At 45.1% G+C, this 12,799-nt stretch overlaps 1 protein-coding gene across 16 annotated transcripts in view; it reads left to right on the top strand.

The window, feature by feature from the left end:
• Positions 1-12,799, top strand: part of CNIH3 (cornichon family AMPA receptor auxiliary protein 3) — a 305,915-nt gene that overhangs the window by 269,119 nt on the left and 23,997 nt on the right. The window lies entirely within an intron of this gene.

The raw sequence follows: 12,799 nt of genomic DNA on the forward strand, positions 1-12,799 counted from the left end.
ACATGTGAACATTTCCTGGTTCTGCAGGATTCTGTTGACTCTGTTAGCCCCATCACCCACTGCCAGCTCATTCAGCCCGCAGCAGGTATTTAGGCAGAACAAGATGAGCACCTGCATATTCTCCCTGCAGCACACCTGAGTCGCTGCTGCTCTGCAGGCCTCCCACCTCAGCCTACGACGTATTCCAACTCAAAGGGAGCAACGGTGCACCAATCATGCGATGAATGAGGCCAGAGTTTCATTGGATTGGATTCTGTAATACATCTCTCAGAGGTGCGCCTTTGGTGGAGTGAGAACATGAACTACTGTTCAGGAGGTAGGGGCATGGACCACACCAGTGCACACTGCAGGTAGTAAGGTGCAGGGTGGCAGGTGGAAGGACGGTGTGTGTCCTGCCTGGTGTGAGCAGGCTGCATCACCTACAGAGCAGGACCTCCATGAGTCTCAGGTCATCAAAGAGGAGTGGAGACACAGCCCCTTCTCTCCTAGAAGCAGAGGCACGGGAACAATGAGAAGGCTCTCTCCAGGGCAGTGTGGCCCTGCAGGGTCCTAACAGCTCTGAAAGCCAGCAGGGGCTCTCTGCAAAAGCTAAAGTCAGCAGCAGATGATATGATGCAGGATTATGCACATTCGAATCCCCTGGGGAGCTTTTAAAACCCAGGGATCCAGAGGCAGGGAGCCATCCCCTGAGTCTCATTTAACATTTTATTTTGAAAAATGTCAAATATAAGGGGATGTTGGAAGAGCAGCACAATGAACACCCACGTAGCCTTCACCAAGATCCGCCGCTTATTCAGTTTGCCACATTTGCCTTCTCAGCTCTTCCCCATCCCCCGTGTATGTACAGCACATACTTTTTTTTTGCTGGACCATTTAATTGTATACATCATGGATCTGCATCCCCAAATACATCCTCCGACATAACCACAATACCATTGTCACACCAAAGAACATGGCTATAATATTGTCACCTAGTCATAGTCACATTTCCCCTAGTTTCCCTATAGTATTCTTTATAGTTGTTGTTGTTGCTTTTTAAATTCAGGATCCAATCAAAAATCACACATTGCACCAGGCACAGTGGCTCATGCCTGTAATCCCAGCACTTTGGGAGACTGAGGTGGGTGGATCACCTGAGGTCAAGAGTTCAAGACCAGCCTGACCAATGTGATGAAACCCCGTCTCTAGTAAAAAATACAAAAATTAGCTGGGCATGGTGGCAGACTACAGTAGGCTGTAGTCCCAGCTACTCAGGAGGCCAAGACAGGAGAATTGCTTGAACCTGGGAGACGAAGGTTGCAGTGAGCCGAGATCACACCACTGCACTCCAGCCTGGACAAGAGCGAGACTCCCTCTCAAAAAAATAAAAATAAAAATAAATCAGACATTGCATCTAGTTGTTGTGTTTCCCATAGTTTCCTTTAATCTAGAACCATTCTCCACTTTTTTCATGACACTGACCTCTTCTGAAGAGTGCCGAATGCAGGTAGTTTTTAAAAGTTCCCCATGTATTTCTAATGAGCAGCAGGATTAGGAAGCACTGCAATCAAAGGCTGCATGCTTTGCTTTCCCCATATAAATATGTGGGCAAATGAACAGGAAGCCGGGCGCTGGCCTGGAGCCCCCTTCATTCTTGGGAAGAGCCGCATGTGCCTTCCATGCACAGCCCTGGCCCCTTTCCACAGTGGTGTTTAGTTTTAGTTATGCAGAGTCACAAGCCACTCTGATCAATACCTTTTCTGGTGGCTCAGCACCTTCACCTCTTCTTTTCCCCTCCCTCCTGGGATCCCCTGCTCCCATTCTGTGATTTTTGTGCTGGATGTTCAAGGTATTGAACCTGTGATAGGAATTGCTTGAGCAACCTCACAGAGGACCGTGAAGGGAGGGGACATGGTGGTGTCTGTTCTCTCTGTAGCAGCAGCAGTGAGGGGTTGTTGTGAATGTTCTGCAGAGAGGGATGTCTCTCCCAGGCTGCCATAGTACCCTGCTCCAGCCACACTGAATTAAGCACCATTCACTTGCCCTTCATCTTCCTTCTTCCTTCACTTTTTTTTCTCTTTCTCTTTTTCTTTTCTTTTCTCTCTTTCTTTTCTTTTTTTTCTTTTTTTTTTTTTTTGAGCTGAACCTACCCATTCTTTAAGACTCAGCTCACATCGTCACTTCGGGGAAGCCTTTTGCTTCCTTCCTCAGTTGGAGTCTGTGTGCTTCTGGGGGCTCCCCTAGCACCCCAGGCTGATGACTACTCTAGCACTTACTAGGCAGCACTGCATTTTTCTTTCCGCAGCTAGACCAGGAGCTGCCAGAGGACAGGGACTGAGTCTGTTATGAGTCCAACACCAGTGCCCGCACATTGTAGGTGTCCAGTAAATGTTTGGTGAATGAAAGCAAAAGAGGTGTGTTCAGTTCTGAGAATTCTACAGTCACAGTTCTCCAGGTTACAATAATAGAATATTAGGGCTAGGGTGGGGACAAAAGTGACTTCATCTTGGATGCTGATCTGCCGTGTTCACTTCTGATTAGCCTTAGTCCCAGGAATGGCTCTTGATTCCCACTTTACTTACTGTCTCCACAGTAAGAACATGTCAACCTTGATGTCATCAGACAAATTACAGGCAATGACGCACATAGCATCCTCGCCTGTTCCGGAGGGTCGCCTTTGATTGTCTTGCTAGAGCACATGTACCCTCTCCCTGTGGTCTATAAGCCTTGGGTCTGAGGAGTAACAGTGCGGAGATCTACCTGTCTTGTGGGTGCCCAAGACCACACTTTTGTCTGTACATTCCCTGAATCAATGACCCAGTACCAACAAACTGGATTTGTCTGCCCCCTTCTTTGGTGTCTCAGCTCCTTCAGCATTTGGGAGGTTTGCATGTATGTCTCTTTAATGGAAAAGCTAGAAAGGATCTTAGTGAATTCTGGCCTCGCTCTTTCATCGAAGGTAAACAAAAGTGCAGAGAGAGAGACCTGCCTCAATGCCACAAAGTGGTAGAGTTAGTCAGGACTAAGCCTGTCTCCTGTTTCCCTGAAACCAGGGTTTTTTCCCTATGATACCATTCACCTTTATTTCATTAGACTGTTTATTGATTTCATATGTCCCAATCCTATTGACTTTTCATTATTCACATGTGGATAATTTTTCATATTATTATGTACTTTAAAAATCCAACCTCTAATTGGCTGCCTCTCCTTTCCTTTCTTTCTTTTTTTTTTTTTTTTTTTTTTTGAGACAGAGTCTTGCTCTGTCACCCAGTCTGGAGTGCAGTGGCGTGATCTTTGCTCACTGCAACCTCTACCTCGTGAGTTCAAGCAATCCTCCCATCTCAGCCTCCTGAGTAGCTGGGACCACAGGTGTGTGCCACCACACCCGGCTAATTTTTGTATTTTTAGTAGACATGGGGTTTCACCATGTTGTCCAGGCTGATCTCGAACTCCTGACCTCAAGTGATCTGCCCACCTCAGCCTCCCAAAGTGCTGGGATTACAAATGTCAGCCACTGCTGCCTTTCCTTTCTGACCACAGGAAAGAAAAGTTCATTTTAATCAAAGTTTAAGCACAATGTAATCAGGAGAGCAAATCTATTGGATGAAAAGCAACAAGCCCAAAACACACTTCAACCACCCTCAACCTCAAATAACGAATTCTGTACTGCTTTGAAACAGCATGGAGAGACACCCCCCGCCCCACCCCGCCCCACCCTCAATTGGTGTGGATGATTGAGAGTTAACCACAAAGTTCACAGAAGCAGCTTTTCTTCTCTCTCTACTCCACTGTGGGCTTGGCCAATGAGCAATGTGGGTCCTGGGACGGTCCGAGAATATTGCTATTCAAGTGGTCCATGACTTGAATAGCATAGTGAACCAGCAGCTTTGGCATCACCTGGGAGCTTGTTATAAAGGCAGAATCTCATGCCCCACCCAGATCTGTGGGATCATAATCTGCATTTTAACAAGATCCTTGTATGCACATTATTTTGAGCAACATGGCCGAGAACCCCGGCTGTCAAGTTCAGACCTGGCAGGCTGTACCCGCTTTTCAGCACTTACTGGGCATCCACCTTGTGTGGCCTTTTTAGATGGCACCAAATAAATGAACATCCTGCCCTCATTGTTATCTTGTTGTTATTGACATACCTTTCCCACCTCATCAGTTTCATTCCTCTGGGTGTGTCCCTGGTGCTGCTGAGACCCTCTCTGTCCACTAGAATTCCCACCATCTCACTGTTGCAGGGTCCTCCTGCCATGCAACTATCCTCTGACTCACCCCATCCTGCTCCCTGTCTCTGGTCACGCTGCCTCCATGGGCAGCTCTGGTTTTCCCTACCTTCCTTAAGTTCCCCAGCAATCCTGCCATCCCTCAACCCCTTCTCTCTCAGCCATGGATGCTCTTGAGTAAGTGGAGGTTGTTGATGCTGAGTTCCCTATTTCCCCCTCCACTTCCTGTCCTCACCTCTCCAATCCTCCTCTCCCATCTCAGGGCCTCTCTCCTCTCAGGGCCCCATTTTAATGCTGCCTCATGATTCAGTCCCCCTCTGACTCACTCTGGAGCATATCCAGATCAGCTCCCTCTTTTGAGTACCTTCTCTCTCTCATTGTTATCCAGCTCCTTTTTTCCCCTGTCTTAAAACACATTTCGTCTTCCTTGTTCTAAAAAGTTGCATTGGCCTTAGTAACCCTTCATGCTACCAACCCACACATTTCTTTTTTCATATGTTGCCCAATTCTGGAAAGAGTCCCTTGCACTCCCCGCCTGCGCTTCCTGACTCCTACGCATCTCAGAATCCCTTGCAGTCCGGCAGATGTGCCTCTCCTTCTATTGAAACTGCTGATTGAAGGTCACCAATGACGTCCCAGTTGCCAAATCTAATAGACTGACTTGTTTGTCCTGTTCCCCTTTGACCTCTCTGTAGTATGACATGACTAGTCTCCTGCTCCTCTTTGGCTTCCTGGCATGAGACCATCTTAGTTTTCCTCCTGTCTTGTGCACACGCATGTCTCTCCTTTTTCTCTCCTCCTTTCTCACACCCCAAATACAGGTGTTCATGCGCCTTCTGCCCTTGTTTTCCTCTTGCTCTGTACTAAGAGTTGCTATTGGCAGCCTGTGGATCAGAGATGTCCTGCAAATTTGTTTTCATTTGACTCATTTAATATTTTAGGAACCTGAAAACCCCACACAAAAATCTGGGTTTCAAGCTGCTTTTGAAAAAAACAAAACAAAACAGAACACAGGACCTGGAAATAGTGGATTCGTATTCTTCAGGACAACAATCAGCTGGAGTGGGTAGCTGATTAACCCTTTAGATGGGGTGTCTGCCCTCAGATCACTTCCGTGACCACCACGCGCGTCTGTCTAGCACCACATGGTTTTGAGTGTGAGCCACTTGTGCTCCTGAGTAAGTGTGGGCTCTCCCCTAAGTGTGGGCCCTCCCCAGGGCTCATCTCCTCCAACGCTGAAGCATCTATCATCGTTCATCTTCTAGCGGCTCCAAATCTATGCATCTTCTCCTGCTCTCTCTCTCTCTCTTGAATTCCAGGAATGTGCTTCTAACCATCTTGGGCATCTTTACCTGGTTTTACTCATTGTACCTCAAACTCAGTCTTGGGGTTAGGAGTGCTTATGTATCACACTTACCCACCTCTCTGAGTTTTGAATCAATTGAGAACAGACATAAGAGTCTAGATGAGAGCCGAAGAACCATGTGGTATCCAGCCAGCTGCATGGAAGGGCATGGCAGGACTCCAGCACCTTCAAGTGTAGGAGAGAGAGAGTATTGAAGAGGGGTGGGCTGGCTTCAGGCTTGTGTTGCCAAGGAGGCAGTCTCTGGACCTGACCACATAAACCTACCACATGCTTGCAGGAGTAGAGAAAGAGGATGCCTGCAGTTTAAGGGCAGGCAAGTCCAGGAGCAAGAGAAGCCAGGCCACAGGCTTCCTCCCTAATACTTCCCCAAGATGTGGAAAAGTTGGTGGAAATTCCTATTTTATGGGTTGAAGCAGGAATACAGAAAGAGGAAGAGAAGGGTTCAGGGTTCTCTCTTCCTTCAACCTGCCATCTACTCATTACAGTAGTACCCCCTTATCCATGGGGCATATGTTCTGAGATCCCTGGTGGAGATTCCTGAAGTTGCAGATAGTACCAAGCTGCGGTATATCCTATGTTTTTCCTATCCATACATATCTATGATAAAGTTTTACTTATAAATTAGGCATAGTAAGAGATTAACTTTATTAATTATCTTTATTATTAATAACTAATAAAATAGAAAAATTATAACAACATACTGTGATAAAAGTTATATGAATACGGTCTCTCTCAAAGTGTCTTATTGTACTGTACTTACCTATTTTCAGATGTGGTTGATCACAGGTAATTTAAATAGTAGAAAGTGAGACTACCGATAAGGGGTATTGCTGAATTGCTTTACAGCATGTTCGTTCACCCATTTTAGTTAATTGAGACACTGTCTTCCATGTTACTTGGGATTTACACCACATCTCTTGTCTTTCTGTGGATTCTATTTCCCGAGTGCTTCGTGAATTACAGCCCTCCTCCTCCAGGCCACTGCTGAAAGAGCTCAGACTCTCATTTCTTTGCCTGGACTATTACAGAGGCTTCCTAGTTTGTTTGCTTTTTGTTTTTCTTGGTCTTCGTTCAAGTCCTTAGGCCTCCTCCTCCATTCACCCTTCACATTGTTGGAATGATCTAAGCAAACCTTGATCATATATAATTTCCATACCCAGAAATCTCTGGATCCCAGTTTTGGAGAATAAGTGACCACTAAAGGACTTGGCATGGCTCCTAAGGTACTCTGTGACTTCCCCTAACATATCTTTTAACCTTATTGCAATCTGCTTTTTTTCAAACACCCATTTTCTCAGCCAGCATTTATCAAGTATTTGCTATGTGCCAAGGAGGGTGCCAAGTGCTGGGAAGAGAGATGCATAAGTTACAGTTACTGCCCTGTGATTTGAGATCCTCATGCCATTACTGACACCACTTTATCACTTGGAATGTTCCTCTCTGTTGGCTAAAATGTTATCTTTACATTTCAGCTCAAGTGTCGTCTCTTCTATGAAGCCTTTTCTATTCCACTAAAGAAATGATCTCTGCCCTCTCTATTTTACTGGATTTTTAAAAGCATCTTCTTCCTGCATAATGATATCTTGTGTACATGTTTTATCTCGCTTACCTGGCTGTAGTCTTCCTGAGGGCCAAGGATATATCTTTTTCAACCTTGAGTTCCCCACACAGCCTGTGCAGTCCTAGTGCATTTGGGGCACTCCATAGATGAGTGTCTTTAAAATTGCATCTCCTCTGAAGCAGAAAATGAAACAAACCCAGAGAAAAATGTTTTAACGCACATATAAATTAAACGCGATCCGAGGTATTACTAAAGATACCTGTATGGAGATGAATATGTCATAATTAATTAATAACACATTTGTGAGCCATCTACTATCCTTTTTGAAACAAAATGGTATTTAACATATTTAAATAATGTTTCTTCATCTCTTCCTTTTCATTCCTACTGCAACCAACTTAAGTTTTTAATCTTTCTCTCTCTCTCTCTTTTTTTTTTTTGGAGACAGGGTTTTTGTTCTGTCGCCCAAGCTGGAGTGTAGTCATGTGATTGTAGCTTACTGCAGTCTTGAGCTACTGGGCTCAAGTGATCCTCCCACTTCAGCCTCCTGAGTAGCTAGGATTATAGGCATGAGCCACCGTGCCTAGCTCTAACCATTTTACTTTTAAGAACCAGAGGGTGGGCGCAGTGGCTCACATCTGTAATCTCAGCACTTTGGGAGGCTGAGGTGGGTGGATTGCTTGCATCTAGGAGTTTGAGACCAGCCTGGGCAACATGGCAAAACCCTGCCTCTACAAAAAATACAAAAATTAGCCAGGTATGGTGGTACCCGCCTGTAGTCCCACCTACTCAGGAGGCTGAGGTGGGAGGATTGCTTGAGCACAGGAGATCAAGGCTGCAGTGAGCCTTGATCATGCCACTGCACTCCAGCTTGGGTGACAGAGCCAGACCCTGTCTCAAAAAAAAAAAAAAAAAAAAAAAAGAACCAGGAAGTTTTGTTGGCTTCTCTAAAGCCTCTTGCCAACTTTTGCCAATCCATTTATCACAACTCCAATAATTATTTCTGCTAACACTGCTGTGCATGCCACTCTCATGCTTAGGGGCCTTTGATGGTTCCTCACTGCCTGCTGCATCAGGTCCCAACTCCTTAGCCTGACCTTCATGGCTGTCCCCAAAGGCCCTTTCCCCAGGCTATTGCCCTGGTTCTCACTAGCTTCAAGCCCGGGCCAGCCGGGAACCTCCCCTCCATTCAGGTGCCATATCTTCCCTGGATGATAAAGGCTTGTCTAAAGTCCACTCACTTTCACGACATTGTTAATGACCATTTCAGCTGGGAATAGGTTCTTCTCTCACCTTTAGCAGTTGTTCCCAAACCTGGTTGCATATGCACAGCATTTAAAATACAAATCCCTGGGCCCCACCCTCTGGAAATTCTGAAGTAGAACTTGGGAATTTGCATTTTTATTAATATCTACGAAGGGATTCTGATGTGCAATGGTTTTGGGAGCCAGTGACTCTTGGGACCCTACAAGCTGAAGGTCTTGTCCTGCTGTGTGTTGTGGGTATTTATGTATCTTTTTGATCTCTCCTTCTGGATTGTACTCTTCCTAAAAGCAGGATTGCATTTGGATCACCTGGCAGGATATCTGGCTCTCAGCAATAGGATAAATTACTCAACAAGTATTTATTCAATGAATGAATGAATGAATACATGCATGAGAGACTCCTTTGAAGAGGTGAGACTTGAAGGGTAGCAGGAACTTGTAATGTAGCCAGGAGTTGAAAGGAGGAAATTCAAGCAGAAAGAAGAGTGTCTAGTATCAATATTTTGTGCAAGATGCAGGTGATAATCAGACCCCTGGGGACTCACTTTGAAATCTCTTTGCTTCCAGGGTTTAAAATATTCCTCATCAATTATTTCCAGTTTGGGAAGACGCTCATCATTTTAAGAATTTCCAATATCTGCCTTATTATGTGGTTGTTTCATTCTGGCTCTCTGATGATCAACTGGGTGTTTTTAAAATAGAATGTTTCAGCTCTTCCAGGATCTAGTCCCTGAGGTTGCTCTGGCAACCACCTTAAAAACTCCAGAGAGCATTATCCTAAGTTGCCAAATGTCTCAGATTTTCTGGCTGCCACACCATTTTTCAGTAGTGCCCTGACAAAAAGGTTAACATTAAATAATCTCAATTAATTAGCTCAATCTCCTAAAATCCTTTCAAAAAAGCCAAGCATGCTTAACATCCTTGTTGTTGAATGTTCCTTTCTTGACTGTACTGTTATTGAGCTCTGGATCTTCAGCAGCTGGTCAACCAGGTATCAAACACACACTGCCCAGGAGACCCGTTGCAGTCCAATAGTTTATTGAAATCATAATCAATGCACCTGTAGCTTCCAGAAAGTGTCTTTGTTTTACTGAAAAGCCAACCAGAGAAAAAACATTTATCTGCTGAGATGTGTATGTGATTTTGATTATCATGGCGAAGTCTTTGCACAGTTCCAGGTATTGTTATTGACACCTCAGCTCTCACCTTGCTTTGATGATTCAGTGTGCACATGATGTGTGCAGGTTCAGGGGTTTATTTCTGTAAGTCCACATGTGCTGCTGGTACCAGAGGTCAGGGCTGCAGTCCTGTTTGAGTCACTAAAAGGCAATATGACTTCAGGAAAGTTACTCTGAGTTCTCTGAGCTTCACTTTCCTACCTGTAAAGTAGGGATTATAAAAGCACCTACTTCATAGGTTGTTGCAAGGAATACATATGATAATGTAATAAAACACCACAGTGGTTGGGGCTGAATAAACATTAGCCACTATTATTACCAAGCAGCTTATATACATATAGCCCAGTTTATTGGAAGAAAAGAGAAAAGCATAAGCTCTTTTCTACCAAGATGAAATCTGTTTATTTTAGTGTTAATACTTTAGCCTCACTGAGTTTTGCTCCTCTGGTTTCAGTGCAACTTTTTTAAAATTTAAATTTAAATTTTTATTTTTTGAGACAAGGTCTCATTCTGCCACTTAGGCTGGAATGCAGTGGCATAATCACAGCTCACTGCAGCCTCATCTTTTGGGCACAAGTGATCCTCCCACCTCAGCCTCCCGAGTAGCTGGGACTACAGGCATGCACCACCACACCCGGCTCATTTTTGTATTTTTTGTAGAGATGGGATTTCACCATGTTGTCCAGGCTGGTTTTGAACTCCTGGGCTCAAGTGATCCACCCCACTTGGCTTCCCAAAGTGCTGGGATTACAGGCGTGAGCCACTGTGCCCGGCCTCACTGCAACTTTTAATTGGTGTATAACATAGAGCATTAATATTGGCTATCTTTTAAGCAGCCTCTACAAGGCCTGCGCTCCCTGAAATTAAAGCAGCCTTTAGTTGGAAGGTCCCAGACAAGATGACACTGTTAGCTCCTATTTTTCCGAGTTTTGTTTCAGAACAGTGTCACAAAAACATATTCCTTTGTAAGACCCCACCCCCACCACTCCTTAAACTCACTGAGAATCAGCTTGTTGGGACCAACTTCTCAGGTGCCACCAAGGGAAAATATGAAAGATAATGGGGAGTCGCCAGTGGTGGGAGCAGAGACGAGATGTGTGCTGGCTGTTTCCTTTGCTCTCTTCAAGGGAGCAAATATGCACATGGAGCCTCGCTTGTCATGGAGTGTCAGGAGCAGCTTCCTTTACACTTCCCAGTGTGTACAGAGGACATGTCCCATTGTGTGCCTTGCACACATTCCCTGTGCCGTGGTTTGAGGTGATATAAATTCTGCCAGGCCCAGGGCTCTGGTACTGTTAGGCCCTGAATAATGTCTGTTGAGTGTGGATGGATGGAATGAGCTGCCCATGATTGAAATTCCAGGGAGAAGTGATTAATCAGACCTCAGGGTCACTCCGTTCATCCACCAGTTGATTAAGTCATTATTGAACACCTACGCTAGGACCCATGACAGCCACATCCCAGAGAGCTGTTGGGGCTCCAGGAGAAGCACGGACTGTCCCCAGCTTATAAATGGTTGTTTGCATTCCACAACTTTGCCTGTAGGTTGATCATTTCAAATGAAAACCTAATGTTCAGTCTTCGGACTAATCCAGATTTCACCTTACGTAGTAAGGAACAGGATCAATATTTCTGCAGCTGTCCTCTCTCCACATAAAATTGTGCTCATCTAATAATGCCTTCTTGAAAACAACCAATCAACAAAAAACCCCTTGTTCACACGCGTCTCCCTAGTTCCTGCCCTCTTCCTGCCTGCTTTCCACGGCCACACTTTTCTAAATGGTGTGTGAAGTGGCAGTGACTCAGCGTCACCAAATCCAGGGGGCATTTTTCATTCTGCGTGATATTCATCTTCCTTAGCAGTGTCTGGCAGCCATGTCTCCATCTTTAAACGTTCAGTCCTCCTGGCTTTCCTGACTCTGCACCCTCTGGTTTTCCCCTGTCCTGTGTCTTTGCTGGTCTTCAGCCTCCTTTTTCTGTGCTGCTTTCGCTACTCATTCCTTGAAGGTTGGTGACCGCAAGGACTGTGTCCCCCATCTTATCTCACTCTCCACTCTCCCACCAGCCCAGGGTTTCATTTACCATTGATGTTTTCAGAACCTTCAAATTCCTCTTCTGAGAACCAGTCCTCAACATCCAACTGCCTTGGATGTTCTACAGGGACTTTGTCTTAGTCTGTTTTGTGTTACTATCAAGGAATACCTGAAGTTGGACAATTTATAAAGAAAAAAGGTTTATTTGGCTCATGGTTCATCTGACCGAAAGGTTGGGCACCTGGTGAAAGCCTCAGGCTGCTTCCACTCGTGGCAGAAGGCAAATGGAAGCAGGTGTGTGCAGAGATCACACGGCGGGAGAGGAAATGAGAGGGTTGGGGAGGTGCCAGGCTCTTTATAATAACCAGCTCTCATGGGAACTAACAGAGTGGAGAATTCACTCATTCCTGCAAGGACAGCATCAAGCCATTCATGAGGGATCCGCTCCCATGACCCAAACGCCTCCCATTAGGCCCCACTTCCCAGTACCGCCACATTGAGGATCAAATTTCAACATGAGATTTGGAGAGGTCAAACCTAACTACAGCACACTTCACACAGTGGCCCATGCTGAGTTCTTTTCTTTCACCCCTAAAAATATTTCTCCTCCCAATGCTGCTGCTCATTCCAGTAAATCATTCACACTAATGTTCAAGATTTCTCAGAGTAATGCTCATACTCACCCTCTCATCCAATCAATTACTAAGTTCTGTAGATGGTACCTCCTAAGTATTTTTCAAATCCATCAATATGACTCCATCACATTCTGCCCCTAACTACCTGTCCTGACCATCACCATCTCTTGCCTGGAACACTACAAAGAAAGGTAGGGCCAAAGGATTACTCTTCTACTTCAGCTTTGATTATTATTCTTCAGAACAGTCTTCCTAGAATCCCAGACTCCAAACTCTCACCATATGTTTCTTCATGCATAACATCAACATTCTCCTTCATAAAAACATGTGTTTTCTACACTAGCCTATAAGCCTATAACTTCACGCAGGCAAGGATGGTGTCTTACTTCTGTATACCCCACCACCACTACCACATAGGACCCAGTATATAATAAATGCTGAATGAGTGAATAAACACATGTCCTGCATTTTGCTTGGGAATCACAGAAATTATCTGTTACTTGCTGTGTCACTTGCTCCAAGAATGGGGGTTTTGGGGGCTGAGGGAGAT

The sequence above is a fragment of the Homo sapiens genome, chromosome 1 (assembly GCF_000001405.40).
Source record: "Homo sapiens chromosome 1, GRCh38.p14 Primary Assembly".
Taxonomy (NCBI): domain Eukaryota; kingdom Metazoa; phylum Chordata; class Mammalia; order Primates; family Hominidae; genus Homo; species Homo sapiens.